The 27984-nt window shown below is 49.6% G+C and overlaps 1 protein-coding gene across 8 annotated transcripts, besides 10 other annotated features; it reads left to right on the top strand.

Annotated features, from left to right (window-relative positions):
• Window positions 4490–4701: a silencer, noted in NCBI's record as "fragment chr11:60520950-60521161 (GRCh37/hg19 assembly coordinates)". NCBI's record gives its function as "represses an EF-1alpha promoter that drives an FKBP-Casp9 reporter gene in an ReSE screen in phorbol 12-myristate 13-acetate-treated (for megakaryocytic differentiation) K562 erythroleukemia cells {active_cell/tissue: K562(+PMA)}" and the evidence as "EXISTENCE:reporter gene assay evidence [ECO:0000049][PMID:32094911]".
• On the top strand, window positions 7880–27746 carry MS4A15 (membrane spanning 4-domains A15). 8 transcript variants are annotated; one of them, NR_103481.2, is made up of 8 exons: window positions 7880–8071; window positions 14719–14971; window positions 18580–18668; window positions 22304–22360; window positions 22451–22771; window positions 24405–24497; window positions 24850–24963; window positions 26618–27746. NR_103481.2 is itself a non-coding variant. In NM_001098835.2 (7 exons), the coding sequence occupies exons 2-7, from the start codon at window positions 14747–14749 to the stop codon at window positions 26726–26728; spliced, it is 723 nt and encodes a 240-aa protein (NP_001092305.1). In that variant the 5' UTR covers window positions 7880–8071; window positions 14719–14746; the 3' UTR covers window positions 26729–27746. The 8 variants fall into 8 exon arrangements, 7 of the variants coding, with proteins under 7 accessions (NP_001092305.1, XP_011543114.1, NP_001265171.1 ...); NM_001098835.2 differs by lacking the exon at window positions 22451–22771 and having other exon boundaries at window positions 18546–18668; XM_011544812.4 differs by lacking the exon at window positions 22451–22771 and having other exon boundaries at window positions 14733–14971; window positions 18546–18668.
• Window positions 14176–14235: an enhancer, noted in NCBI's record as "active region_4776". NCBI's record gives its function as "activates an Ori minimal core promoter by ATAC-STARR-seq in GM12878 lymphoblastoid cells {active_cell/tissue: GM12878}" and the evidence as "EXISTENCE:reporter gene assay evidence [ECO:0000049][PMID:35858748]".
• Window positions 14266–14355: an enhancer, noted in NCBI's record as "active region_4777". NCBI's record gives its function as "activates an Ori minimal core promoter by ATAC-STARR-seq in GM12878 lymphoblastoid cells {active_cell/tissue: GM12878}" and the evidence as "EXISTENCE:reporter gene assay evidence [ECO:0000049][PMID:35858748]".
• Window positions 15436–15565: an enhancer, noted in NCBI's record as "active region_4778". NCBI's record gives its function as "activates an Ori minimal core promoter by ATAC-STARR-seq in GM12878 lymphoblastoid cells {active_cell/tissue: GM12878}" and the evidence as "EXISTENCE:reporter gene assay evidence [ECO:0000049][PMID:35858748]".
• Window positions 16293–16472: an enhancer, noted in NCBI's record as "active region_4779". NCBI's record gives its function as "activates an Ori minimal core promoter by ATAC-STARR-seq in GM12878 lymphoblastoid cells {active_cell/tissue: GM12878}" and the evidence as "EXISTENCE:reporter gene assay evidence [ECO:0000049][PMID:35858748]".
• Window positions 18419–18518: a silencer, noted in NCBI's record as "silent region_3373". NCBI's record gives its function as "represses an Ori minimal core promoter by ATAC-STARR-seq in GM12878 lymphoblastoid cells {active_cell/tissue: GM12878}" and the evidence as "EXISTENCE:reporter gene assay evidence [ECO:0000049][PMID:35858748]".
• Window positions 25453–26084: an enhancer, noted in NCBI's record as "H3K4me1 hESC enhancer chr11:60541913-60542544 (GRCh37/hg19 assembly coordinates)". NCBI's record gives its function as "activates a minimal SCP1, AML or CMV promoter by ChIP-STARR-seq in naive and primed H9 embryonic stem cells {active_cell/tissue: H9 hESC(naive and primed)}" and the evidence as "EXISTENCE:reporter gene assay evidence [ECO:0000049][PMID:30033119]".
• Window positions 26085–26714: an enhancer, noted in NCBI's record as "H3K4me1 hESC enhancer chr11:60542545-60543174 (GRCh37/hg19 assembly coordinates)". NCBI's record gives its function as "activates a minimal SCP1, AML or CMV promoter by ChIP-STARR-seq in naive H9 embryonic stem cells {active_cell/tissue: H9 hESC(naive)}" and the evidence as "EXISTENCE:reporter gene assay evidence [ECO:0000049][PMID:30033119]".
• Window positions 26451–26570: a silencer, noted in NCBI's record as "silent region_3374". NCBI's record gives its function as "represses an Ori minimal core promoter by ATAC-STARR-seq in GM12878 lymphoblastoid cells {active_cell/tissue: GM12878}" and the evidence as "EXISTENCE:reporter gene assay evidence [ECO:0000049][PMID:35858748]".
• Window positions 26715–27344: an enhancer, noted in NCBI's record as "H3K4me1 hESC enhancer chr11:60543175-60543804 (GRCh37/hg19 assembly coordinates)". NCBI's record gives its function as "activates a minimal SCP1, AML or CMV promoter by ChIP-STARR-seq in naive H9 embryonic stem cells {active_cell/tissue: H9 hESC(naive)}" and the evidence as "EXISTENCE:reporter gene assay evidence [ECO:0000049][PMID:30033119]".
• Window positions 27747–27984: the final 238 nt, after the last annotated feature.

Consider the following 27984-nt stretch of genomic DNA (forward strand, 5'->3'; position numbering starts at 1 on the left):
AAAGGGGCTGTCCCTGCACCTGGCCCTTAGTGACGATGGAGAGCACAGTGGCGTAGAGCAGAACCCTGCCAAGGGGCCAAGCTTGGGGAGTGGGAAGGGAGGGGAGGCCTGCGTCCACCATGGTGTGTTTGCATCTGTTGGCATCCTTTCTAGGCCAGTGGGGCAGGTCTAGGCTGTCCTGGAAGGGCTAAGATTGGAGGAACCCGGGTCCAGCCTCCCAGCTCTGGCATCCAGATAGATGCCGTGGGGTCAGACTTAGACAGAAGGGGTGAATTCCCACCTGATCCACAAAGTGGTGGGGCCACAGCGACCAATGGGCAAAGTAGATGGAGCATCCTCAGGAGCCTGGAGCACCCACCACCCTCACAGCCACCCATCTGGCAGATGGGGAAACTGAGGCCCAGAGAGCCTAAGCAACTTGCCCAAAGTCATGCAGCTGGTTAAGCTCATTGAATAGTAGGGTGGATTCTTACCAAGCTGATCCCAAGGCCTATTAGCTTAACCACTAAGCAAAACTGCCTCCTCTCAGATGTGCAGATGTGCAGGGCCTCCCCACCCAGATGTGCGCTTATAAATTTTGTCCAAGACACCCTCTCTTCCAGCTGGTAATGCCCCATTCCAGGCAGCAGCTGCAGCCCATGAACAAAGCTGCTTTTGGCTCTTCGTGTATAAAGGTGATAAACATGCTCACAAGACAAGTCCTGGCTGCTCAGGGCAGCTCAGCCTAGGACTCTGGGGCAGCCTGTCACTGAATGTCCTGAGCTCAGTTTCCTCATCTGCAAAATGGGAATACTAATAGTACCAACCTCATAAGGTTTTTAAAATAATAGAAGCTAAAGGGCATGGCAATGGCATGCCTCCTGTGTACCAGGCACTGTGCTAGGCACGAGGTTGGGTATTAACTCTTTTAAAACTCACAGCAACCATAGAAGGCTGAAATTGGGGCAGTCCAGTGGCTTTTCTGACTGCACTCAGACAAGACAAACACCTGTGATCTAGTAATTAAAGTGTTCAATCTTGTGTTATGTCACGACTTGATTTGGGGCCCCTCGGTTCTCAGCCCGGGCACGTGGCAGGTGAGAAAGGGTGTGTGGTGGGCTTCCTCTCCCTTTTCCCACTGGATTTCCCTCCTCCTCCCCAGCCAGCCAGCTAACTGTGGCTTCTGCCCTCTCCAAGGCTGAATAATGGGGAAAGAGGGGAACGGGGTAGGAATGCGTACTTGTCTGATACTGTTGGAAGCTAGCGTCACCTCCCTGAGACTGGCAGAGGAAAAGCTGACTTCTCTGCAGGTGTTTTCATGGGTTCTACGGAGATGCCCCCGACACTTGGGATCTCTCTCCTGTGTCCCCCCCACAAAATTCCTCCCTCAACTCAGGAGGAAACTGTCAGGTCCACTATGCAGGCTGTACATTGAAATGTCTCCCAGAAGTCACCTTAAAGCCAGCCTCTCTGCCTTAAGATAAAGAAGGACGCATCCCCCTCCCCCATATACAGTGCTCAGATGATTCTATAAGTTCTCTCCCAAAACCCACTCTCAATCCCCACTCCCTACCCCATGGGGGAGGTGCGAAAGGCATCTAGCAGGTTCTCAGCCACCTGCTTTCCGCACGTCCCACTGAGCCATCTACAGCACAGCTCACTTCAGTACCTGATCTCAGCTGAAACCTCCCTTTAACATCTCTGATAAATACATCAGCCTTCAAGGCCCACAGCCTGTCCCATTCTCCCACACTGCTATTTCTAGTCTTTGGTTTACTGGTCTGCAAAATGGGCTGAATAACACTTACCTTACAGGGCTACTGGATGGTTCTGTGGTCTCATACAGGTGACGGCTCTTTATAAACTGTGAGAGGGCTGTGCATATGAGGGGCTGTTACTACCACTGCTCATTCATTGGGTGATGACATGCATTTTGGTGATGTCTAGGTATTTTATGTGTCTCTGCTACAGGCAGCTCTTCCTCTGGTGGGTATCTTGCAGATTCCTAGAGGCAGGGGACAGTGGCTTTTCCCTCTTCCACCTGTCCGTCCCTGACATGCATGCATTTGTGTTTTGGGCATGCTAACTGATTGGTTAGTAAGAAAAAGAGAGTCCTCCTTCTGGGTGGCACAGAGCCAGGGCATGGGCCAGGTAGCCTCTGGAATGTGGCGGATGGGTTAGTCCCTGGCCCCAGGGTTCAGAGGTGCTGGTGGTGGCTGCAGAGGGCTAGGAAGAGAGAGGAATTTGCAATCTCAGGAACTATGTGACACTTTCATGCTCACGATTTCACTTAACCTGCCTGTTGACAGGGAGCCTATTTTTGTAGGTGTTTTCTCCTGAGGATCACAAGGTCTCTATTTTCTCAAATTTCTCACCACTTGCCCAGGAGAGATGTTGTTAATTACACATGTGCTCCCTTCTGGGGCTGCGCAGGCCCAGTCTGATCTGAAAGCCCACGAAGAGCCCAGCTGAACCACATGGGGCTGGTCCTTCCCCACCCCAGAAGGTCCACAAACCTGCCACACACCACTGTGGATCTCAGATGCAGTGTTCACCTGTCCCTGGTGAAATGACAACTATACGGGAAGAGTGGTGAGGGGCTCACCAAGTTAAAATTGTTAAATTTTAAGGTTTTGTGTTTGTATCTTTTTTTTTTTTTTTTGAGATGGAGTCTTGCTCTATCGCCCAGGCTGAAGTGCAGTGGCACGATCTTGGCTTACCTCCATCTCCTGGGTTCAAGCGATTCTCCTGTCTCAGCCTCCCGAGTAGCTGGGATTACAGGCGTGCGCCACCATGCCCAGCTAATTTTTGTATTTTTAGTAGAGATGGGGTTTTACCATGTTGGCCAGGATGGTCTCAATCTCCTGACCTCATGATCCACCTGCCTCGGATTCCCAAAGTCCTGGGATTACAGGCGTGAGCCACCGCGCCCAGCCTGTATCTTAAAATTATGTCCTTTCTACTTCTTTGGTGTTAAAATATCTTTTCTAGATGATGGTGAAAACATGGATGACTTTTTGCATGAACTTACTTGGGGAAGTAGAAAACTGGCAGACTCATTTGGTCCCAATTTGTTTCTCATTTGCTGATCTGTGAACAAGCATTTCAGAACTATTACTCCCAGGGGTGAAGTTCAAACATTTGTTCCTTCATCTGACAAAGCCAGGACTCAAACCCAAAAGTACTGGAATTCCATAACGTCAGCACTCTTCCTACTGAGAGATGGGAGTCTGGGTCCATTCCTGTTCTGCCGCTGAGGTGCTGTGCAACTGGAAGGAAAATACTCGTCCTCTCTGAACTTCTGTTTTCTTATCTCTAAATCACACGTAATAATCCATGCCTGCCTCTCCCTTAGAGTGAGATGCGGGCTGTAAATGTTCATTATTACATCTGAGGAAGGGAAAGACCGATGGGCGGGGTGGGTCCCCCCTCACCCCAAGTTCTTCATTATTCTGCCATGTGTTTCTCTTGTCCAGTGTTCATGGACTCCCAGCCAAGGCAATCTCTAGCAATGTCCTCAGAAACTGTAGAGTCTCCCCAGATATGTCCATTTTGTGCTGCTATCACAGAATACCCAAGACTGGATAATTTATAAACTTCAGAAATGTATGCCTCACAGCTCTGGAGGCTGAGATGTCCAAGATCAAGGTGCCAGCAGATTTGGTGTCTGGTGAGAGCCCCATTCCTCACTTACTTCCGAGGTGGCGCTTTGTTGCGGCATCTTCCGTGGGGGACAAATGCTGTGTCTTCACATGATGGAAGGCATAAGGGCAAAAGGACCTAAGCTAGTTCCCTCTCTGCCTTTTATAAGGCATGAGTCTACTAATAAGGCAGAGCCCTCATGACTTAACCATTTTCCAAAAGGCCCCACCTCCTAATGCCATCACGATGGAGATTAAGTTTCAACATGAATTTTGGAGGGGACACATTCAAACCACAGAAGGTGGGGAAGAAGAAAGAGATTGAAGAAGAGAGAAAAAGGAAAGAGAAGGAGCGTGGGGCAAGGGAGATGGGGACAGCAGGGGAGCAGGCAGAGGACCCTTGTTTTGGGTCCACGTCCTCCCTGAAGACATCCCTGAGTTCCACAATCAGGAACCCTTCTCCCTCCCCCCACCGAGCCTCCTCTACCTTGCTAGTCTCTGAGAGCAGGACATCCAGCCTTAATTCATCGTTGCATTCCCAGTCCCTGAACTTGGTGCTCATAGTAAACACTTAACAATTGTTTGTTGGACTGAATTGCAAACTGCTCTTGCTCCTCCTACTAAACTCTAAGTCCTTTGAGGACATGGACTTTGTGTTTTACTCCTGTATGGATTCATTCTGGGAAAATATAACAATCAGGAGAAACTTAAGTTATGCTGCTATAACAAACAGCTGAGTGGCTTAACACAACAAAGGTTTATTTCTTCCTTCTGTTCTATGTCTCCTGGAGGCTCTGTTCACTCAGGGACCCAGATGGATAAGGCAGGCTCTGCCTGGAACACTGATAGTCACTGTGACAAAGGGAAAAAGAGCCCTGCAGAGTCACGTGCTGACACCTAAATGCTCCACCCAGAAGCTATGCGTTTACTTCCACTTGCATTGGTTTAACCAAAACAAGTCACGTGGCCATGCCAAACTTGAAGGCACCCAGAATGTAAGGGCTGGGAACAATAGGGAGATAACAGTTGTGTCTGGCACTGGAGACAGCAATAGGGGGCACAGATGCAGACTCTGCGGATGGCCAAACTTGGACTTGAATCCCAGCTCAGCCATTTCATGATATATCACCTTGAGCAAGTCCTTTCACTGCCCTGAACCGAGGTTATCACAGCCGTAAAAAAAACTTTCAGGAATTATCAAAGGACCATTGTGAGGATAAGAAATAACTTATTTGAAGTGCCTAGGAAAGAGCAAGTCCTCAAAAAATGTTTATGATAAGCTCTTATTAACCTGGCACCAGTGCAGAAACAATGTGGGGCTCTATCACTGTTAATTGGTTTAGAAAGTTCCAGAGAGGGCCAAGCGCAGTGGCTTGTACCTGTAATCCCAGCACTTTGGGAGACCAAGGTGGGTGGATCACCTGAGGTCAGGAGTTCAAGACCATCCTGGGCAGCATGGCCAAATCCTGTCTCTACTAAAAATACAAAAATTAGCTGGGCATGTTGGTGACGCCTACAGTCCTAGCTACTTGGGAGGCTAAGGCAGGAGAATTGCTTGAACCTGGGAGGTGGTGGTTGCAGTGAGCCCAGATTGCGCCATTGCACTCCAGCCTGGGTGACAGAGCAAGACTCCATCTCAAAAAAAAAAAAAAGAAAGTTCCAGAGAGGTGAGTGATGAGATAGGATCATTAGCAACATCATCTTGAAACCCTCCCCCAAAAGTGAACCCCAAAACATTCACAGCACCTCACCAATCTCCAAGGACTTTCTTACCATTTTCGACCCTCACAATAAACTGAGGCACAGTGAGCAGCCTTCAGTATCTTTATTTTTATTTTATGGAAATGTAGACTAGCTCAGTGCCATTTCACATTTTGCCCAAAATCACAGCAAATAATCAAGATAAACAACTAGGATAGGCAATATTTAGCAATGTCCTCAGAAACTATATAGTCTTTCCAAATACGTCCATTTTGTGCTGCTATAACAGAACACCTGAGACTGGGTAATTTATATAGAACAGAAATTTATGCCTCACAGTTCTGGAGGCTGAGACATGCAAGTTGAAGCAATAGCTAAAATTTAATGAGTGTTTACTATGTGCCAGGCAGTGTTCTAAGAATGGGGTTGGCAAATTACAGCCCACAGATCAGACCTGGCTCACCATCTGTTTCTGTAAATAAGTTTTTGTTTTGTTTTGTTTGAGACAAGTTCTCACTCTGTCACTCAGGCTGCAGTGCAGGGGCGCAGTCTCAGGTCACTGCAGCCTTGACCTCCGGGGCTCAAGAGATCCTCCCACCTCAGCCTCACGAGCAGCTGCGACATGTGTGTGCCACCACACCTGGCTATTTTTTTGTATTTTTTTTTGGTAGGGGTGAGGTTTCACCATGTTGCCCAGGCTGGTCTCAAACTCCTGAGCTCAACCAATCTGCCCACCTCAGCCTGCCAAAGTGCTGGGATTACAGACATGAGCCACTGCACCCAGGCATAAATAAAGTTTTATTGGAACACAGCCACACCCATTTGGGTATATATTGCCTATGTCTGCTTTGCACTACAATGGAAGAGTCACGTGTTTGCAATCGAAGTTATATGGGTCCCCAAAGCCCAAAATATTTACTATCTGATTCTCTCTTTTTTTTTTTTTCTTTTGAGATGGAGTCGCGCTCTGTCACCCAGGCTGGAGCGCAGTGGCGCGATCTCGGCTTACTGCAAGCTCCGCCTCCCAGGTTCACACCATTCTCCTGCCTCAGCCTCCCGAGACTACAGGCACCCGCCAACACGCCCGGCTAATTTTTTGTATTTTTAGTAGAGACAGGGTTTCACCATATTAGCCAGGATGGTCTCAATCTCCTGACCTTGTGATCCACCCGTCTTGGCCTCCCAAAGTGCTGGGATTACAGCCGTGAGCCGCCGTGCCCGGCCTACTATCTGATTCTTGAAAAAAGTTTGCCAACCCTGCTCTGAGTAGTTGTCATGTCTACTAATAATCAGGTTAGTGTCAGATCCTGGAAATGAGAGACTCAGTGGAGACGGTGCTATTTGGGAAGTCACAGCACAATCCCTCTGGTGATCCACTCTGAGCATCACGTGTTGGTCACACCTCCTAGGCTGAAGGGAGCCATGTTAGTAAGCCCTTAAAAATGTCAAATGGCTTCCCCCACCCCTTAATGCCAGCAGATTCTTATCCTGTGTTTTCTCAGCCATCTCCTTGGAGGTGCCTCCAGTCACTGAAAACCTTGCTCAAGAGCCTATGTGTCCTTTTCGCTCTATTTCTCTGCATAGGGTCCAACGCTGTCCCTTGCCCCCTTTGTTCACCAATATAGGTCAGACCTATCACAAAATAAATGGCACAGAGGCTTCCTGAAGACACACATATTTTGAGCACAGAACAGTGAGGCTGAGCCCTTATCAGCCAAGAGCGCTTGCAGAACCACAGAGAATCTGCTGCACAATCTGCAAGCTGGTGCTCTCCCGAGCATGCATAGTAGGTCTCAGAGCACTGGGAAGCAATGCACATCCACGGTCCATTGTAAGTCACTGGCTTAGATATGTTATATTTAACAAAACATCTCAGCCGCATCGTGTTATAACAAGTCACGTTGTAAGGGATGGATTTTATCAAGTTGGTGTGTGTTTCCCACCAAACTCTATGAGATTGGTATTATCCCTATTTCACAGGTAAGGAAACTGAGGCAGAGGGTGACCCTCTCGCTCCCGTGCCTCACAGTAACAAGAGGAGCCAGAATTCAAACCCTGGCTTCTATCTCAGACCCTTACACTGAACTGGTAAACTCCTCACACACCCATGCCAACAAGAAGGATGACTGTTTTCGATCTCATTGTATAATCTGGCAGATTCAGCACTCTGTTGTTTCCTGGTAAGCTCATCTCCTGACACCTGGGTAATGGGTGTTTTTTCCCAAAGTGTTTGCCCAGGCCAGCCACACCTAAAGTGTTGGGGTACATGGCAACATATCCAAGCTTATGTACGTGGCATTTGAGGTCAGGGCATGGAAAAATACGGAGGCACTGTGTGTATGTTATTTGTGCATAAGAATGTAACTCCTTGGCCCTAAAAACAGGACAAGGAGTGAAGTGTGTCATAAGGAACGCTGAAAACAGCCTCCTAAGAATGTGGTTTGAGAGCTTTTGCAAGGCCGCAGGTGTCTCATGACCCCACCTCAAAAAGCCATCTAGTGGATGTTTGTGGTTTAACAATCCCTTTCAATAAATACTTGGCGGACAGATGCTAGGGCAGGCTCTCACAAGGGCGGGCTCTCAGAAGAGCTGCCCCCACCCCCTCTCCCAGCCCCCTTCAGCTGAAATTGTCTAAGAACTCATTCTTGGCGTTCACTGCAAGCTATAAGCTCTGCAAGTGGTGACCCCGACGTGATCGCCTTGAAGTTACGCTTGAAGGAGGAAAACTCATCAATTTTCGGGGAATCCCGGTAAGGGACAGTCCTGACTCCCGTCAGGAGGATGGGACCCACGCGTAAAATATCAGGGGTTGGATTATCATGGGTCAAGAAATGACCAAAGAACAGAAAGTGTTTTTTAAAAACAGTGCGACAGCTACTTAAGGCTAACCAGTGCACTGCAGAGCCTGGAGCTCTACACAACGCTATGATCTTAATTCGGCAGGAATGCCCTTGGTTTCCTGATCAAGGAACCTTAGACTTGAGTTATGGAGCAGGTAGGTCACTGCCTGAAAACAGGATGTGAGCAAGGTCATTTTACTGAGGTTATTGTTTTGACCACCTGGGCGCCGGTACACTCGGTGTTGTATCCTCTTTATCTGCCAGATTGCAGTGGGTCAGACCGCCCGTCTTTGCCTGAAGGGAATTCAGGAGGTTTAAAGGAGAAGGAAGAACAGGAGCCAACCAGGACAGCGGGAGGCGGGCGGGGGGTCCTCTCTCTACTTCATTCCCTTCTGTAGGGCATAAGGAGGATATTTTTTTCTAGTGATCATGAGGACGGACCGGAGCCTTTTCCTCCCCCTATAGAAAAGCCATTGCCCTCTTTTCCTCCACCCTTAAAGGGACCTGTATTCGTTGGCCCCGTTCAGGCAATGGCGCCTCCCATCCCCCTTGAGGAGTCTGGAGGCCGCCCAAGAGATGGTTCTTGGATAAGACCTCCAGTCAGTGAATATCTATATGATCGGGTGGCCGTGTCCTCAACGCCAACTCCTCGTCAAACTTTCTTAGTAGAGGGGTGCCTCCAAGAGGGACTTAGGAAGGGAGACTCTGAGGCGCTTTTTGGCGCATTCCCTGTTATTGTTCAAAGCAACAGGAGATGGCATGAGAGTTTGCCTTTTACTGTCTTTAAAGAGTTAAAGAAAAGTATCCGTGAAAACAGTGTACATTCACCGTTTACGAAGGAGGTGATTGAGGCTCTGGGAAATGGCTATAAGATGACTCCACATGATTGGAAAACTTTGGTAAATGTTTTGGTTTCAGCTGCAGAATATACTGTGTGGTGGAGTGAGTACAGTGATTTAGCCATGCAGCAGTCCTTGCAAAATTTGGATAATAATATCCCGATACAACTTGATATGCTATTGGGAACAGGGCCTTTTGCTTCAGCTCAGACTCAGGGTCAAGCAGGTGGCCATCTATTTCCTCAATGCTCACAGCTAGCAATACAAACATAAAAAAAAAAAATCCCGTAAGACAATCCCAGGGTTCCTTTATAACAGTTAAACAAGGTGCCACAGAAACATACATTAAATTTATCAACCGACTGCAAGCTGCAATTGAAAAACAGGTATCCCATCCTAAGGCTACCAAACTTCTTATGTTACAATTGGCTTTTGAAAAAGCAAATAAGGATTGTCAGACAGCAATAACTCCAGTCTAAGCCACTGCCACTGAAATCAGTGTGTTTATTAAAGCATGCCAAAATATAGGCACTACAACTCATCTGACTCAAACTTTTGCTGCAATAATGACCGGAACCACATATTGTAATTGTGACCTAACCAGGCATATGGCAAAAATAACCCTGCTACTGTTTTCCTACCTTTAAGCAAAAAACAATTTCATACTCTTCTAGCTTGTGCTCTTGATTGGCAAATCGCAATAGCTGACTTTATTGGTAATATCAGCTTTCATTTACCAGCCTCTAAGCTCCTGAACTTTTTACAAACTGTGCCTGTTAAATTTGTATCTATTGTTGTTTCTGAGCCCTTGCTTCATGCCACTACTGTCTTTACAGATGGTTTAGGAAAAACTGGAAGAGCAGCTACAGTGTGGCAATAGGCCATGCAAAAATGGCAGCACAAAATCCAGGAACATTTTAAAACCACGCAACAGGCAGAGTTAGGTGCCCTGATATTGGCCTTACAAACTTTTCCTCACCAAGACATAAACATAGTTAGTGATTCCGCTTATGCGGTGTGTAGTATTACTCATTTAGATCTTGCACATGTGAAGGGCATTACTAATGAACCCCTACTAGCTTTGTTTCTTGCAGCGTAAGAGCTCCTCTGTGACCATCATTGTGGGGAAAAGAAAGAGAGATCAGACTGTTACTGTGCCTATGTAGAAAAGGAAGACAAAAGAAACTCCATTTTGATCTGTACAAAGAAAAATTGTTATGCTTTGAGACGCTGTTAACCTGTAACTTTAGCCCCAACCCTGTGCTCACAGAAACATGTGCTGTACTGAATCAAGGTTTAAGGGATTTAGGGGTATGCAGGATGTGCCTTGTTAACTATATGTTTGCAGACAGTATGCTTGGTAAAAGTCATCGCCATTCTCCATTCTCTATTAACCAGGGACACGATGCACTGCGGAAAGCCGCAGGGACCTCTGCCCAAGAAAGCCTGGGTGTTGTCCAAGGTTTCCCCCGACTGAGACAGCCCGAGATATGGCCTCGTGGGATTGGAAAGACCTTACCATCCCCTAGCCCGACACCCGTAAAGGGTCTGTGCTGAGGAGGATTAGTAAAAGAGGAAGGCCTCTTTGTGGTTGAGATAAGAGGAAGTCCTCTGTTTCCCACATGTCCCTGGGAATGGAATGTCTCGGTGTAAAGCCGACTATTCGTTCTATTCTGAGATAGGAGAAAACTGCCCTGTGGCTGGAGGCGAGATATGCTGGCAGCAATACTGCTCTGTTACTCTTTACTAACTGAGATGTTTGGGTAAAGAGAAACATAAATCTAGCCTACGTGCACATCTGGGCACAGTACCTTCCCTTGAACTTATTTATGATGCAGATTCCCTTACTCACATGTTTTCCTGCTGACCTTCTCCCCACCATCACCCTGTTCACCCTGTTCTTCTGCCGCACCCCCCATGCCAAGATAGTGAAAATAGTAATCAATAAACCCTGAGGGAACTCGGAGACCGGCGCCGGTGCAGTTCCTCGCATGCTGAGTGTGCCGGACCCCTGGGCCCACCGTTCTTTCTCTGTACTTTGTGTCTTATTTCTTTTCTCAGTCTCTTGTCTCCACCTGACGAGAAATACCCACAGGTGTGGAGGGGCAAGCCCCCTTCGATCATCACCCTCTTTACATCACACATATTCACTCTCATTCTGGGCTACCTGGTCCCTTATCAGAAGGGAACGCTCGAGCTAATGCTCTGGTACACACACAGATGTGGTTTGCAGACTCTCCTGCTTTTTTGCGAATTCAAGCTGATCATGCTTTTTTTCCATCAGAACGCCTGCAGTCTTAAACAACAGTTTCATTTAACACTTGCTCAAGCTCACATGATTATTAAAACTTATCCTGATTGCCAATGGCATTCTCTTTCCCCTTTTTCCTTAGGACTTGGTGCCAACCCACGAGGTCTGGTGCCTAATGCTATCTGGCAAACTGATGTTACTCAGTATCCACCCTTTGGACGTTTTAAATCTCTCCATGTTACTGTGGACACTTATATAGACCTAATACATGCTATCCCCATGCCGGAGAAAAAACTAAAGATGCAGTTGCTCATTTGTTTGAATCTATTATGACTCCAGGCCTTCCACAAACTGTAAAACTGATAATGGCCCCTGCTATCTTAGTGCTCACTTTGGCTATGCATTGCAACTTTGGCAATAAGATCAACATACAACCCAAGACTGGGATTCTCTGTAACTCAACCAGTCAGGCCATTATTAAACAAGCTCATCAAACTCGTAAAGTATATCTTAATAAACAAAAAAGGGGGAATATCGGGCCCTCTTCTCGAGAACAGGACCTGTCATTGGAGAATCGACTGACAATGACGGTGATGACTCAGAAGGCACCTGACATTACCTGGGGACAGCTAAAGAAATTGGATCAACAGGCAACTATCCGGCTTGCAGGCATAGAAGCCTCTGTAACTGCAGAGAATCAGTTTCTTATGTATCTGGGGGTAATTGGGAAAACTTCTGAGAAAGTAAGACGACATAGATGTTGGGGTGGCTGGTAATTCTTGTCCTTTGCCAAGTGGGATCACCTCAAGAACATGTTTACTGGAGTCATGTTCTAAATCCCCCTGTTTTTAATGTTATTTCATGGTGGGATGCTGACCTGCCTTTGTCATCTAATGATACTTCTTGGACGAGAGGTCGATGGATGCCCCTGTCTTACCCTTCAGTGGAAAATTTGGGATGGATTAAACTTAATAACTCCTTGGTTGTATTGTCTAGTAATCCCCCTCTTTGTTTTTCCACAATAGCACATGCTAAGTGTGTTACTCTTATTCTTCAGGAGTATCTTTACTATCAGTGTAAAAGGGATGCTAAGCTTGCAAACTTGACCTTTATTTCTGCTATTACCACTAATCTTACTGAGGTCTCTAATGAAGCTACACAAGTGCCTGATCTTCCTATATGCCGTCTGAGTAGGGACTGGGGATATAAGTTTGAGGCCATTCAGTGGTCTCCATCCAGACAGCCTGCGCCATGTCAAGGGCCTCTGTTTGATAATGGCACCTTACTTGATTGGAGTCCCCATGGTTATCTTATGTCTGCAAATCAGACTATTGGATCTGGGAGTCCCCAGTAAGTCTATCACCTGGTCAGAGTACAGGCTTTCAGGACCAATATTACAACTAAAAGGGAAACAAGCTTTAAGCCCTGCTCATACCCAAATTTGGAGATTAGAACTTCCTTTTTTTGAATGGGTTCTTTCACATGATGAGTATATTACTAGCAGTGGCAATTATACCCTCTGTTTCCATAATAATGTTACTGACATAGTTGTGATTTGTACTACGCACTCTTATATACTTTTGTTTGGGCAAAGTGTTCCTAATATAGAGCAGAATCAATCCTTTTATAGTAGTAAAGTCTCTTCCAGTAGTTAGTATGCTACATGCCTGTCTCATCGAAATGTTACATAGTTAAATATAACCTATGTCATGATCTTAAAATGGCGTGCAGAATTTTGGCTGCCTGTAAATTTAGCCTGGAGCTGGGAAGGAGATTCAACCCTGCAGCTGTTTAGAAAAGCACTGTCTCATACTCAGAAAAAAAGATTTCTGGCCACTTTAATTGCTTTTTTAGTCTCAGCTATTATTATATTAGCAACTGCTGCTACTGCAGCTGCTTTTTCTAACAAAATCTATTCACACAGCTTCAGTGGTGAACCACATGGTATATAATGTAACCCATAAATTTCAAAAACAGGTAAATATTAATCAAACTACTCTGTCTCACCTGGAGGCTCTTAAAGCTGCAGTTGAATGGCTGGGGGATCAGCAGCTGGCATTCATTACCCATCAACATTTATATTGTAATTGGCAATATAATTCTATCTATGTCACACCTCTGCCATATAATAGCTCCCAATATGCTTGGGAGAGAGTGAAAACACACCTGCAAGGGGCTTATCACAATCATTAGTCTTCTCAAATTCCCACTCTTAAGTGTAAATTTAAAAAACAACTTAAAAAATGGTCACAGCAATTATAAACAAATACCCTTCAACAATTATAAAAAGGCTTTCAATAGTTAAACCCAAACACTTAGTTATCTGGGTTAAACATACACATTTGGGTAATGGCCAATATACTTATTCTTTTTTGTATTTGTTTGCTAGGTATGTACAAATGGCTCTGTGCTGTCACTCAGTGCATCTATAACCAAGAAAAAGCAATAAAAGCTTACCTCGCTTTAAATAACCAACATACTCTAAAAATTAAAGAAGGGGGAGATGTTGAGGGTGCACGGCAACATATCCAAGCTTATGTACATGGCATTTGAGGTTGGGGCATGGAAAAATACTGAGGCACTCTGTGTATGTTATTTATGCATGAGAATGTAACTCCTTGACCCTAAAAACAGGACAAGGATTGAGGTGTGTAATAAGGAACGCTGAAAACAGCCTCCTAAGAAGGTGGTTTGAGAGCTTTTATAAGGTCATAGGTGTCTCATGACCCTCAAAAAGCCATCTAGTGGATGTTTGTGGTTTAACAAGCTCTTTCAATAAATACTTGGCGGACAGATGCTGGGGTGGACTCTCTCAGAAGAGCTCCCCGCCACCCCCGCTCGAGGCCCACTCAGCTGGAATTGTCTAAGAACTCATTCTTGGCATTCACTGCAAGCTATAAACTCTGCATAAAGTTTCCATATCTACACATTTCTTGGCTACATCAATGGTAATTGCTTGGGTGGCCAAATAGAAAGCTTCCCACAGCAGGTGGGAAGTTCCCATACCCAGGGGAATTATTGACGCTAGCTCAATAGTTGAGAGCTGAGAGGCAGGAAGTGGCAGTGAGTCCTGGTCTCGGGGTGAAGAAACCGGTACTCTAGCTAAGCTCTACCTTGCACTAGCTGTGTGTCCTTAGGTAAGTCACTTGCCCTTTCTGGGAAAAGAAGGGCATTTAAATAAACACTCCTCCAAAAGGAGCTTTCCACATAATATAGCTCAGAGATTAAGAGCAAGGCCTCTGAAACCAGAGAGACTAGAATTCAAATCTCAGTCTTACCCCACCTACAGGCCCTTGACCTCAGACATCTTTCGCTTCTCTGAGTCTCAGCTTCCCCAGCTTTGATGAGAGCGTTTGGGGCCATACTGGCAGGGCTGCAGTAAGCAAGGGAAGTAGGCACGTTGCTTATCAACTAAAAAGCTTTATGCACATGGGTGACAATCATCATTGCCATTATTATCTCCCAAGCCTTTGTTTCCCAGGCTCTCTGAGCACGATGTCTGCAGCTCCCGCCAGCAATGGAGTGTTTGTTGTCATCCCGCCAAACAACGCCAGTGGCCTCTGCCCACCTCCGGCCATTCTGCCCACATCCATGTGCCAACCTCCAGGGATTATGCAGTTTGAGGAGCCACCGCTGGGGGCACAGACACCAAGGGCCACACAGCCACCTGACTTGCGGCCCGTGGAGACATTCCTGACAGGAGAGCCCAAAGTTTTGGGGGTAAGAACAGCCTCTCTGCACAACCTGAGGCAGGTAGTGAGTATCCCAGCACCGGAACATTCATGCATGTTTTGGAGAGGGGAGAAGGCAGTTAACAAATATGTAGTAATGACTCAAAGATTCAGCCATGCACCAGGTAGACAAGCACCCTTCCCGCATAAAGTTCACAGAGAGTAAACCAGTAAACAAATGACTCAGAAACCTCCAAAGAGAAAAGTAAGGTTGAAAATGATGACTAGGGCTAAGGGGAATACTAGCGAGGGTAGGTGGAAACTTGTCTCTGGGGAGATGACATTTAAGCCCAAACCTGGCTGTTAGATTGAAGCCAGCCAAGGGAATAGCTAGTGGAAGGGCTGGAGAGGGAGGGCTCACCAGGTAGAGTGCAAAGGCCTTGGGAATGAGTGTGGCTGTTAAAGGAAGAGGTGGAAGCTCGCCATAGCTGGAATGTAATGAGCAAAGGAAAGGGGGAGGTGAGATGGAATGAAAGTGATAGATGAAAGTCAGCCCTGATAGAGCTGAAGGCACATGAAGGATTTCAATCTCAGATGGCCTTGAGCTATTGGTCTCAATAAAATACTGAAGTCATAAAATATTAGGTAGAGATAGAAAGATACATACACACATTTGCACGTGTGTGTGTATACATGTAGCGTTAAAAAGAAAAGCTTTAGGCCAGGTGAGGTGGCTTACGCCTGTAATCCCAGCACTTTGGGAGGCCGAGGCAGGCAGATCATGAAGTCAGGAGATCAAGACCAACCTGGCCAACATGGTGAAACCCCGTCTCTACTAGAAATACAAAAATTAGCTGGGTGTGGAGCCGTGTGCCTGTAGTCCCAGCTACTCGGGAGGCTGAGGCAGGAGAATTGCTTGAACCCGGGAGGTGGAGGTTGCAGTGAGCTGCGATCATGCCACTGCACTCCAGCCTGGGTGACAGTGTGAGACCCCATTTAAAAAAAAAAAGAAAAAGAAAAGCTTTAAACAAATTAAATTTAGCAGAGTTTATGTGAGCTAAGAATAATTCAGGAATCTGGCAGCACTCAAAACCAGAAGAGGTTCAGAGAGCTCCATCCAGCTGTGTGAGCAGTAAGCTCTTATAGGCCAAACACAGAAGTGAAGTAGAGAAATCTCCCGATCAGCTGCAGCTAGGTGTCTGCCTTATTTGGGCATGATGTCATGAGGCATTTGCCTTATTTGGGCATAGTCTGATCAGTTGGCTGAAGCTGTTTGTCATTAGCTGAAACCCAGCTATCTGTTACAAAAATATACTCCTAGGTTAGGTTTCAGTGTGTTTCTGTACTGGTTGGGTTGCAGTTTGTTATGTAGGAACTCAAATTATGGAGACAGGCTAATGGCCACCTGCTATTTTAATTATATACACACATATGTAGATTCTTCAGTATGTTCCTTGGCCTCAGTTTCTCCAAGTAGAAGATGAAAGCATAGATTAAGCAATGGTGATGATGATGAAGGTGAAGATGATGACAGCTCTTACTTATGAAGCATCTCTGAGAGGTGCACGTACTGTGCCGGGGACTTTGCATGCATCATCTCACTAGATTCTCAGCACCACCTTGTAAGAAGGGGATCATCGTTCCTGTTGGACAGATTACGAAACTGAGGTTTCTTAAGACTAAGTCATTTGCCTAAGGCCACACAGCTGATAAATGGCATCCTGTAAACTAGGGATGGCTGACCCTAAAGTTCTACTTTCAACCCCTCTGCTTTGTGGCGTCCAGGACCTCTGGCTCAATCATGCTGGAATTCTATCCTAATAGCTGCACCACATCCATTGGTGCAGAGGGGGACTGGACTGGGGGCACAGACACCAAGGGCCACACAGCCACTGACTTGTGGCCCATGGAGACAGCGGCTGGAATTTCGAAGCCTCAAAGCGGACCCTGGGAACCAGAGCTCTCCCCCTCCAAAAAAAAAAAAAAAATTGATGAGACAAACAAACTGCTGAAAAGCACAAAAAAGTGGAAAATACAAATAAGAGTTATGGAATGCCACCCGCTAAGAATACCACTGCAGACTTAGCTGGCCTGCCGCCTCATAGCTGGGACACTTCGGGCAAGTTACTGAACATCTCTGACCTTCAGTTTCCTCATCTCCAAAATTAGGATAATAATAACCTACCTCTGGCCAGGCGCAGTGGCCCACGCCTGTAATCCCAGCACTGTGGGAGGCCAAGATGGGTGGATCACCTGAGGTCAGGAGTTCGAGACCAGCCTGGCCAACATGGCGAAACCCCGTTTGTACTAAAAGTACAAAAATTAGCCAGGTGTGGTGGCAGGCACCTGTAATCCCCATTACTCAGGAGGCTGAGGCAGGAGAATCACCTAAACCTGGGAGGCAGAGTTTGCAGTGAGCTGAGATGGTGCCATTGCACTCCAGCCTGGGCAACAAGAGTGAAACTCCTTCTCAAAAATAATAATAATAATAGTAATAACCTACCTCTTCTCATTAGGATTAAATGAGACCACATCTGTAAAACCCCCAGCACAGTGCTTAGCATAGACAGGCATTCAATAAGCGGCAGCTGGTGTTTCCCAAGGCATAATGGCAGTAGCTGTGGTGGTCTATCCACAGGGGAAAGATCTAAGGAAGGGGAGCAACGCTGGCGACTTGGACACCATGCCATGCTGTGCCCTGTGAGGACACTGAAAAGATGAAAGACGTGTAGCTGAAGAGAAAAAGAAGCTGAAGATTCAGGGGCTCATGTCCATGAATATCCAAATACTTGGCACTCATGTTAGAAAGAAATATATATTCCACGTGATGCTGACATGACAATTCTAGTTGTTCCCAGTCAGAACTGCCCATAAAAGGACCATGCTGGTTTGGGTAGTGGTGAGTACTGGTCACTGGAGTCCCCGTGAAAGTCACGGAGCCGGAAGTGGCTCCTGGGCTCCCAGGGCTGGATTCCAGCGGTCTTCAACATCTCTTTCCACTCAGTTCCGGAATTCAATAGTTACCCAAAACGTTGCAATGTTTCTGCTATTTGGCAGACCTTACTAGAAGCTCACACTTGGGAAAACCATCCCACTTCTGGGCATAGACTAGTAGGGTGCTGGTAAACCAACTCTTAGAAAGAGAAAAAATCCCACTGGAGATTTCAGCAGGCTGAGAGGCAGCTGCTGCACAGGGCTGGGACGATCAGTGATGGACACGGAAATTGTGTGATGGACGCTGCAGATTGACAGGGTGGTGGGAGATGAGGAAGGGCAAGGTGAGGCATGCGGTGCAGGGAATGTTGGGCCATTGAACCGAGTCCTGAGAAAGCCAGGTAGGGACACAGCGATGCTTGAGATCCATGGATCAGAGCAGAAAACAGGAGGCAGGCTGGCTGAGAGAGCTGTGCTTTGTGGGTCCCGTAGGCTGCGGGGAACTAGCTTTCTCCTTAAAAGTGTCTATTGGTTTCTGTAATAATATCGCCTCTAAAGAACAGAATCTGAGTTTCTTTCCCAGTGGCCAACAAGCGGGAGGAGGGCGGGGCCAGCCACGCTCTCCGCGGGGCCGGCAGGGGGCGGTGTGGAACAGGGCCCGCGGCACTGAGCCTCGGGGCTTCCCGCAGACGGTGCAGATCCTCATCGGCCTCATCCACCTAGGCTTTGGCAGCGTGCTGCTCATGGTTCGCCGCGGCCACGTGGGCATCTTCTTCATCGAGGGCGGCGTCCCCTTCTGGGGAGGAGCCTGCGTGAGTGCCGGGGCCATGGAGAGGGAGGGTAGGGGGATGCTGCCCAGGCTCACCTCTCCCCCACGCGCCCACCCCCACCATCCTCCTGGGCACAGCCTCTCCTAGGTGGGGGCCTGGAGGCACTTCCTAGAAGAACTAGAGTCTAAATCTAACTCCTTGCCGGAAACGCTCACCATAAACTTGAGCCTGACCCCACCCCTGAGGATCAAAAGCTCCCAGCAAACAGCCAGAGAAGCTGCCAAAAAGGACGGGAAAGGCGGGGCACGGTGGCTCATGCCTGTAATCCCAACACTTTGGGAGGCCGAGGCAGGCAGATCACTTGAGGTCAGGAGTTGGAGACCAGCCTGACCAACATGGTGATACCCCGTCTCTACTAAAAATACAAAAATTAGCCGGGCACGGTGGTGCATGCCTGTAATCCCAGCTACTTGGGAGGCTGAGGCAGGTGAATCGCTTTAACCCGGGAGGCGGAGGTTGCAGTGAGCTGAGATCTTGCCACTGCACTCCAGCCTGGGCAACAGAGCAAGACTCCATCTCAAAAAGAAAAAAAAAGGGATGGAGGGCATCAGGGCTGGGTCCAAACCACCTGCACTGCCCAGATCCTAAGCCTCACCCTGCAACCAAACCCCTCCCGCAGAAACCCTCTAGCTCCCTGAGTTGGGTCCCAGCCCTCCAGGAGCTCTGTCCCCTGGGAGTCCAACCAGCTCTGAAGCCCCTGAGCCCATTCCTTTGACCTCCTTCCGGCCAAACTGGCCACTCACCCGTGCCGGAAAACAGGCAGGTGAGTCCTTGTCACTGCCAACATTAAAGGGCACTTGAGTGTATACCGTGAACCTTGGTGTTTGCACCCCCATCAATACATCACCAGAGCCTCCAGCCGCCCCAAGGAAGCACAGGCCTCAGGGTCAGGTCAACGGGGTCTGAATCTCAGCTTCACCGCATGTTAAGATGGAGTCCCTTGGGCACGTCACTGAATCTCGATACTCAACTTCCTCATCTAAAACTTGGGCTCATAGATCTGGCCCTGCCTACCTCATAGTTTGCAGAGGAAATCGAGAGATAATGTGCATGGTGAGTGGATTACTAACGCTAAAATTCTGCACCAAATGGTGACTGTTGAGCAAGTCCTTTTTCGAGAGAAAGCCAGAGATTTGCATAAAAGGGGTCTCCATTGTGTGAGTGTTGGTTCCAGAACCGAGGCACAGTGACTTTCTTCCCCTGCCCAGGCTGCCTCCAGCAAGAGCACAAAATCCACCAGAATGGGGTTCAGGGAGGACAAATGGCTGACACATCACAACCAGATCAGGATGGTCACCTGGCCATCCTTGGGGACAAGCTCTGGCACTTTGAATGGTCCCCCTGACCTGAAGGTGGAGGAAAATTTTGCAATCGGGAGAACCCATGGGGAGAAATCACAACAGGAAGAAACAAAGGGGTCACTTTCCCCTCTGAGCCCCCTCCTGCCAGGCTTTATCACAAATATGCCCAGTAAAGCTTCAAAAATGGGGGAAGGAACAAAAGCAAAAACTTGATTTTCAATCTCAGGAGACATGAGCGTCGGGAGATCCTGACAGGACACCTGTGAGCTCCAACATTTAATCATTGTGTTGGATCTTCACATCACTGATGTCTGGGGACCCCTGAAAGTACAGGGGTATTATGTGCATTTTTCTAGAAAGCAGGCTCATAGCTTTTCTTGGAGGCTCAAAGGAGACCTTAGTTGAACATTCCCAGAATTCCAGGATGGTGGATGACTTGGAAGGAAAGAGGCAGTCAGCCGGCATGCGGGTGCAGCCAGGCCTCCTTCTCTGTATGAACCTGGGCAAGTTGCTGCCTGTCTCTGGGGCTTGACTTTCTCATCAATAAGACATCATGCCTGTCTCCAGCCCAGAGAGCCGGATTCTAAACCCAGCTGCCCTCTTGACAACTCCGCTTGATGCTGAAAAGGCAACTCAGTATATCAAAATGAAACTCTTGATTCCTGCCATAGGCTTGTCCCCAGCCCTATCCCTCCTATCACCTCCTCATCTCAGCAAATGGCACCTCCAGCCACCCAACTGCCAAAGCTAAACATATCCCAAGAATTGTCCTAGAATCTTCTTTCCCTGCTGCGCATCCACCCCAGCAGCAGGTCGCGCCGGATCACCCTCCAGAGCATAGCCTGAGTGTGTCCGCTTCTTCCCACCCCCATGGCCACCATGCTGAGCTACACCTGCTTGAGACCTGTAGTGACTCATTCCTGGTCCTCTGTCTCCGTGTCACCCCAGGGCCTCCTCCACCCACCGCTGACCCTGCGGTCTCCCCAGCATGGCAGCTGAGTGCCCCCTGCAAATTGCAGACCTGCTAAGCTGCAGGCCCAGAGTGGCGCAGCACTGCTCAGCTCCACCCTCTCAGCTCGGCAGACGCAGGGCCAGCCCCACCTCAGTGTGTCAGGCGACTGCCAAGTACATAGGTGCCATGATGCAGGTCCCTGGGCTATCCTTATGGATAGCCTCGTGCCCGGCTGTTGTCATCCCAGCTCACAGAGACAACCCTGACACCCACCCAACCTCGAGTAGCCCCAGTGACCGCTATGACTTCATCACAGCTCTTAGCACCACTGTCTGTACTTTTCTTCACTGTTTGCTAAGTGTCAGTCTTCCCCAATTAGAATATAAGTTCCGGCCGGGCACGGTGGCTGATGACTGTAATCCCAGCACTTTGGGAGGCCAAGTCAGGTGGATCACGAGGTCAGGAGTTCAAGACCAGCCTGACCAATATGGTGAAACCCCGTCTCTCCTAAAAATACCAAAATTAGCTGGGTGTGGTGGCGGGCGTCTGTAGTCCCAGCTACTTGGGAGGCTGGGGCAGGAGAATCACTTGAACCCGGGAGGCGGAGGTTGCAGTGAGCCGAGATCATGCCACTGCACTCCAGCCTGTGTGACAGAGCAAGACTCCATCTTAGAAAATAAAATAAAAAAAAAAAAGCTCCTTGAGGGCAGAGATCTGGTCTGCCTTATTCAACTCTGTTATGTTCCTGGCACATAACTGCCACTCAGAAAATATTTGGTTTTTCTGTTTTTTGTTTTGAGACAGAGTCTCACTCTGTCCCCCAGGCTGGAGTGCAGTGGCACTATCTTGGCTCACTGCAACCTCCGCCTCCCAGGTTCAAGTGATCCTTGCTCCTTAGCCTCCCGAGTAGGTGGGATTACAGGTGCACGCCACTCTGCCCAGCTCATTTTTGTATTTTTAGTAGAGACTGGAGTTTCACCATGTTGGCCAGGCTGGTCTTGAACTCTTGACTTCAAGAGATCCTCCCACCTCGGCCTCCCAAACTTCTGGGATTACAGGCATGAGCTCACTCAGTTCAGCCTCACTCAGTAAATGTTTGATGAGTGAATGTTTGAAGGAACAATGCCTTCCCCATGAGGCCCTGATGATATGACGTCAATGAAAACACTCACCTTGTAAGCCACAGCCCTAGTTCTCTGGACAGGGGACACCCCTGCCGAGAGACCCCAAGGTGCCTGCCTGGCAGAGAAAGTGGCATCAGGAGGCTGTTGTCTCTCCCTGGCACCTCTTGACAGATCCCAAGCAGGGTCTGCCCTGCCCAGGGTCCTGGCTGAGGCCTCACCTGGTCCCCTCTCCCCATACAGTTCATCATCTCCGGATCCCTCTCAGTGGCAGCCGAGAAGAACCACACCAGTTGCCTGGTGAGTGTGAACAGGGGGACCCAGGGGCGGGGATGAAGCCACAGCTAAATCTCACTCTACCCTGCCCCTCCCATCCACTCACTCCTTCAGCTCATTCCCCAGCACTTCAGGGGACCTGCAAAGTGCCAGGGGAGGGGCACCACCCAGGCAGACCAGACGCAGACTGTGCATGTCCAGGAGAAGAAGACAGGGATACTCTTTCAATACACAAGCCAGGGTGGAAAGTGAGGTCCATGCTCATGGTCATTCCGAGAAAGGAAAGATGCTAGAAGATCTCCTGTAAGAGTCCTGCTGGGCCTTGGTGAGCAGAGAGGACTTAGAAATACCACAGGGAAAGCTGGAGAATGCACGGAGGAGTGTGGGCAGGGTCGCCACTGAAACCACGCCTGGCTCCATCCAACGAAGGCAAAGGTAGGAGAAGGAAAGTGGAAAGAAATCAGACAGAGAGATTTAATCCCATGATGGGGCTGGATTGTGGAGGGCTTGGTGCCTTCTGCAGGCACTGGGAGGCGATGGAGGCTTTGAACAGGAGGGTATGAGCTTTATGTCAGGCTCAGAGAACACGGCAATGAAGATCATGAACACGGCAGCGAAGGTCATGAACATAGCAGTGAAGGTCATGGCATTTATCTTCTGGTGCCTTGTAGACACCCGTAAAGCAAACTAACAAAGATGGTTGCCAAGCATGAGAAGTGCTGAAAGGAAGCAGGCAGGATAATATGAGTCATTCTAAGCTCAGCTGGGACGGTCTGGAGTCCCTGAGCAGGTATCACGGAACCGAGTCTTCACAGTTCAGAGGGCAACAACCACGGAAGAGCCCGGTCGGGAAACGCCATGGCTGGACAGGGGACCAGAGTGCTGGACCATCACAGGCAAGGGGTGGGCCGAGAGGGAGAGGCCGGGGAGGTGACTCAGAGCCTAAATGCCAAGTTCAGGATTTGTTTTAAGGACAATGAGAGACCACAGAGGCTTCAGCAGGGAATTCCTTGCCCTGTTTCCATACTTGAGAGGTATCCCAGGTGCTGGGCAGAGAATGGGTTGTGGAGGGGCAGGACTAGAAGCGAGGACTCTCCGGACCAAACCCAGTGTCCCCCGGGCTGTGAGCTCCAGGAGGACAAGACCTGACTTACTCTCTCCTGGACTCACAGCACTTTGCATAGTGCCTGGCATGCAGTAGGTGCTCAATAAAAGCTTTTGGCTTAATCAATTAATGGATTTCTTGTGAGGCTGTTCTGATCTCAATGACCTCCTGATTGCCATTTAAAAAGAAGAATCAGGGGTCTTTAAACCTGAAGAGGTCCTAGAGTCCCCAGCCCACCCATGAATGTTTCCCCTTGGGGCAGTTTAACCAGAAGGCTCCAGCTACGGGTCACGAGACCGTCAGGTTCGGGCTGCACGGGGATGGTGACCCCTGGGTGGCTGCCTGGACCACCCCAGGAGTCACTTGCCCTGCACGCTCTTTAGACCCTGGAGTCCTAGGCCTCTCAGCCCACCCAGACTTCAGACCTTCAGCTCCTGCCTCTCCTGTCTCCCCTGCCTGGTGCCCCACCAGTGTCTGCAGTGCCTCACTCCGCCAGCCACTTCCTGGAACCTCATAGAAATGAACTCAACCCCTCTCCCAACCAGGCCTCAGTGTCCACAGCAAAGAGCCTCCCCCAACCCATGCCCCTGAGCAGGCCTCAGCTGCAGCTTCTCCTGCGAGGTGCTGGGCCTGGGGGAGAGGGAGCCACAGTACGGGGTAAGCTGGAGGCTGCAAACTCCACCCAGAAAGGCTGTAAAGGAGGTGGTGCCCTTCTCCCTAGCAGCTTCCAAGAAGACGAGAGAAGGAAAGAGAGACAACAAGACCTCCTCCCGAGGTCCCAGGGGAGGAGAAGAGAAAAGGGGAGCAGTCAATGAGAACACAGCTGTGTGCAGGGTGGTGTGGCCACTGCCTCCTTGGCTGTGGGAGGCAGCGTGCTGGGGGCTGGGCAGCTGAGCCACAGCCCCTGCCTTTTCTCCTTCTCTTTGCCTATTCCCTCTGCTCCTGTCTCTCTGCTCTCTGCAGGTGAGGAGCAGCCTGGGCACCAACATCCTCAGCGTCATGGCGGCCTTTGCTGGGACAGCCATTCTGCTCATGGATTTTGGTGTTACCAACCGGGTGCGTTGTCAGATGGCCCTCGGGGTGGGAAAACTTGGAAAATGATGCAGCCATGTCCAGGAGGGTAGGGAGGTGAGAGTTTGCAGCGCCAGGACGTTGGCAGGGCCTGCCAGTCCCTATAGACCCCATGAATCCATGGATCCTCTGAGCCTTCCCCAAGATAGGCATCAGAAGGAGCAAGGAGGCAGCCTGCAGGGTGAAGGGGAGGGTGCAGGACTGGCGGCAGGGGGACTGGCTCCAGGCACAGCTCTGCTCCCAACTAGCCGCATGACCTTGGGCAAGTGGTTCTCACTCGGGGGACCCCCTTACTCTAGAACTCTGGGCTCACCTTTCTGTGGGTTTTGGTCCCCAGGATGTGGACAGGGGCTATCTGGCCGTGCTTACTATCTTCACTGTCCTGGAGTTCTTCACAGCGGTCATTGCCATGCACTTCGGGTGCCAAGCCATCCATGCCCAGGCCAGTGCAGTGAGTACCCCCACCCCCACCCCCACGTCCACTAAACCTGAGCTGAGCCTGTGTGGAAGGCAGTTGGCTGGGAGCGCGCTCTGCCTCCAGACCCCTCCCTCTGCACTCTGGGAAGCAATAAGAAGAGACAGCGCTAGGAAGGGTGTCCCATCCATGTCAGGGGGCCCAAAGAAGTCTTTGGGCTGGGCATGGTGACTCACACCCATAACCCCAGCACTTTGAAAAATGAGATGGGAGGATCTCTTGAGCCCTGGAGTTTGAGACAAGCCTGGGCAACATAAAAAGATCCTATCGCTACAAAAAAAAATGTATTTTTAATTAGCCATGTGTGATGGTACGTGCCTGTACTCCTAGCTAGTTGGGAGGCTGAGGCAGGAGGATCGCTTGAGCCCAGGAGGTTGAGGCTGCAGTGAGCTATGATCACACCACTGCCCTTCAGCCTGGGTGACAGAGGAAGGCTGTCTCTAAAACCAAAACAAAACCAAAGACGTCTTCGCAGGTCAGTGAAGACAGGACTGCTCTCCCCGTGGCACTGGGTGCACCAGCACCCACAGGGCCACTGCTCTGTGCAGCCCCACAGGCAGCCTTGCAGAATAGAAGGCCCAGGCTCAGGGCATGGGGGCAGTGCTGCACCCAGAGGAGTGAGACTTTTTGGAGTTCCCAGGCCACATGGGAGACAGGGGCATCAGGGAGGGCAGCATGATAGAGATGGAAATTAAGCTTTGATTTCCAAAAAAAATGGAGGACAGTGATGACAGAAAGGGGCTGGAGGGAGTGTTCAAGGCAGGGGAACCAGTTGGAGCAAAGGCTGCCTCGGGCAGGCAAATGCAGGCCACAGGGTGGGGTGCCCTTGGCAGGTGCACGATGGGATGCATTGAGGGTGAGGGGATTGAAGGTCTGAGCAGGGGAGTGAGCTGGTTGAGGGAAATCAGTCAAGAGGATTTGTCCAGTGCCGGAAGGTGGAGAGGGTGGACAAGCGGGGCTCGAGGCCAGGAAGCTGCAAGGAGGCTGGTGCCACGGTGCAGGCAAGAGAGAGCGAAGTCCTGAACCAGGCCAGGGCAGTCGGGAGAGAAAGAACAGCAGAGCCGGACGTGGTGGCTCATGCCTGTAACCCCGGCACTTTGGGAGGCCGAGGCGGGCAGATCATCTGAGGTCAGGAGTTCAAGACCAGCCTGGCCAACATGATGAAACCCCGTCTCTACTAAAAATACAAAAAATTACCTGGGCATGGTGGCAGGCGCCTATAATCCCAGCTACTCGGGAGGCTGAGGCAGGAGAATAGCTTGAACCCAAGAGGCGGAGGTTGCAGTGAGCCGAGATCACGCCATTGCACTCCAGCCTGGGCAACAAGAGCAAAACTCTGTCTCAAAAAAAAAAAGAAAAGAAAAAAAAGAACAGCAGAACGTTAGCGCCTGGAGAAATGGGACTTTTGTCTGTTTTGTTCACTGCTGTACTCCCAATGCCTGGATCATAGCTGGCCCCAGTAAATGTTGTTTGAAATATTGGTTGCACGGAGAGCCCTGAGCATGCGATTCAGACTTGCGGAATTCAGTACCAGGGCGCTGTTCTCAGATTACCCACAAGGGGGCACTATTGAACCACTACCCTGAAGCTCCAGCGTCCTCCAGGACGCTCAGTGCTGTTTTCTTTGCAGCCTGTGATCTTCCTGCCAAACGCCTTCAGCGCAGACTTCAACATCCCCAGCCCGGCAGCCTCTGCGCCCCCTGCCTATGACAATGTGGCATATGCCCAAGGAGTCGTCTGAGTAGCAGATGTGGCACCTGCGGGTGGAGTCCAGCCTTTTCCCTCTGGGCCCAGCCTCTCCCCACCCCCACCTTGTTCATCAGGGGCCAGCCCCATCCCAGCTGCCCTCCCTCACCACATCTACACATACTCCGGCATCTGAGTGAAGTGTCCCCAGGGACATCTCTCCCACACTTTCCCCAGTGCTTTCTTTCTAAAAGACACCGGGCTGACGTCAGGGGTGTGTGTCCTTCAGCTCCCTGAGCCCTGTCACCCTTCCAGGACACCCACCTTGTGCATCTAAGCATTTCTCTGCTCATTGGGGAAATCCTGGCCTCATTGGAGACTCAGGTTCGAGGCCTGCCCTGACCCTCGGGCCTCGGGAAGGTCAGAGAGCCCGGAATCCTCCAGAATGGAAGAGTCTGACTCTGGCATTCCACAGAGGTGCCGATACCAGGCCAAGGCCTCACAGCAGGGTAGTGGCCTGGCCGCAGGTCTCCTGGCCCCAAGATCAGCTCTGTCCTTTGTCATCTGTTGCCACATCCATGGAACTCAGGTTTCCTATTTGGAAACTAGAGTGTTGAACCAGATAAGGTTCATCAGGCCCTTCCAGCTCCCCAGGCTCCCTGAAGTCCTGGGTCTAGGCCAGGCATTGTCCCCCTGCTTCCTGGAAACCCTCATTTTCCTTGTCTGTAATATGAAGTCAGCATTGGCCCCGCCCCCCACCCCCTACCATCTCCCAATGGAGGGGAGGTTGCAGGGGAGAGCTGCCGCCAGCCCACTCCTGAGGCACCACCACAGTCAGCATCGACAGGGGCACAGCAGTGGCAGTTTGGGACCTCCCTGTGCCTCTCAGCACTCCCTTCCCCACCCCCATAGCCCAAGGACAAGGCTACCACAGAAGGTTACCACAGGACCTGGGCTTCGTCTCCAGGGGACAAGGAGACACTGTCAGCCTGGTGTTCACCAGGCCTGGTAGATGAGATGGCTTGTCTCATCCACACCACAGAAGGAAATAAACCATGTGGCTTAAATTTTGAGCTGGTCTTGTTGCAATGACTTTTTCTTTTTAACCTCAGGGGCTTCCAAGGGTCATCCCATGTTTATCAGAGGACCTGGGTAACTATCCCACTGTCACAAAAGGGCACCTCTGGGTGCCTCGCTCTGTGTGGTGTAATCCTTACACTTACTCTGTCCCCATCTCGGTTCAAACAAACATGCCTTCATATCCCCACTCCACAACTAAGGACACTGAAGCTTAAAGGTGTTAAATTATAT

The sequence above is a fragment of the Homo sapiens genome, chromosome 11 (genome assembly GCF_000001405.40).
Source record: "Homo sapiens chromosome 11, GRCh38.p14 Primary Assembly".
Classification (NCBI taxonomy): Eukaryota; Metazoa; Chordata; class Mammalia; order Primates; family Hominidae; genus Homo; species Homo sapiens.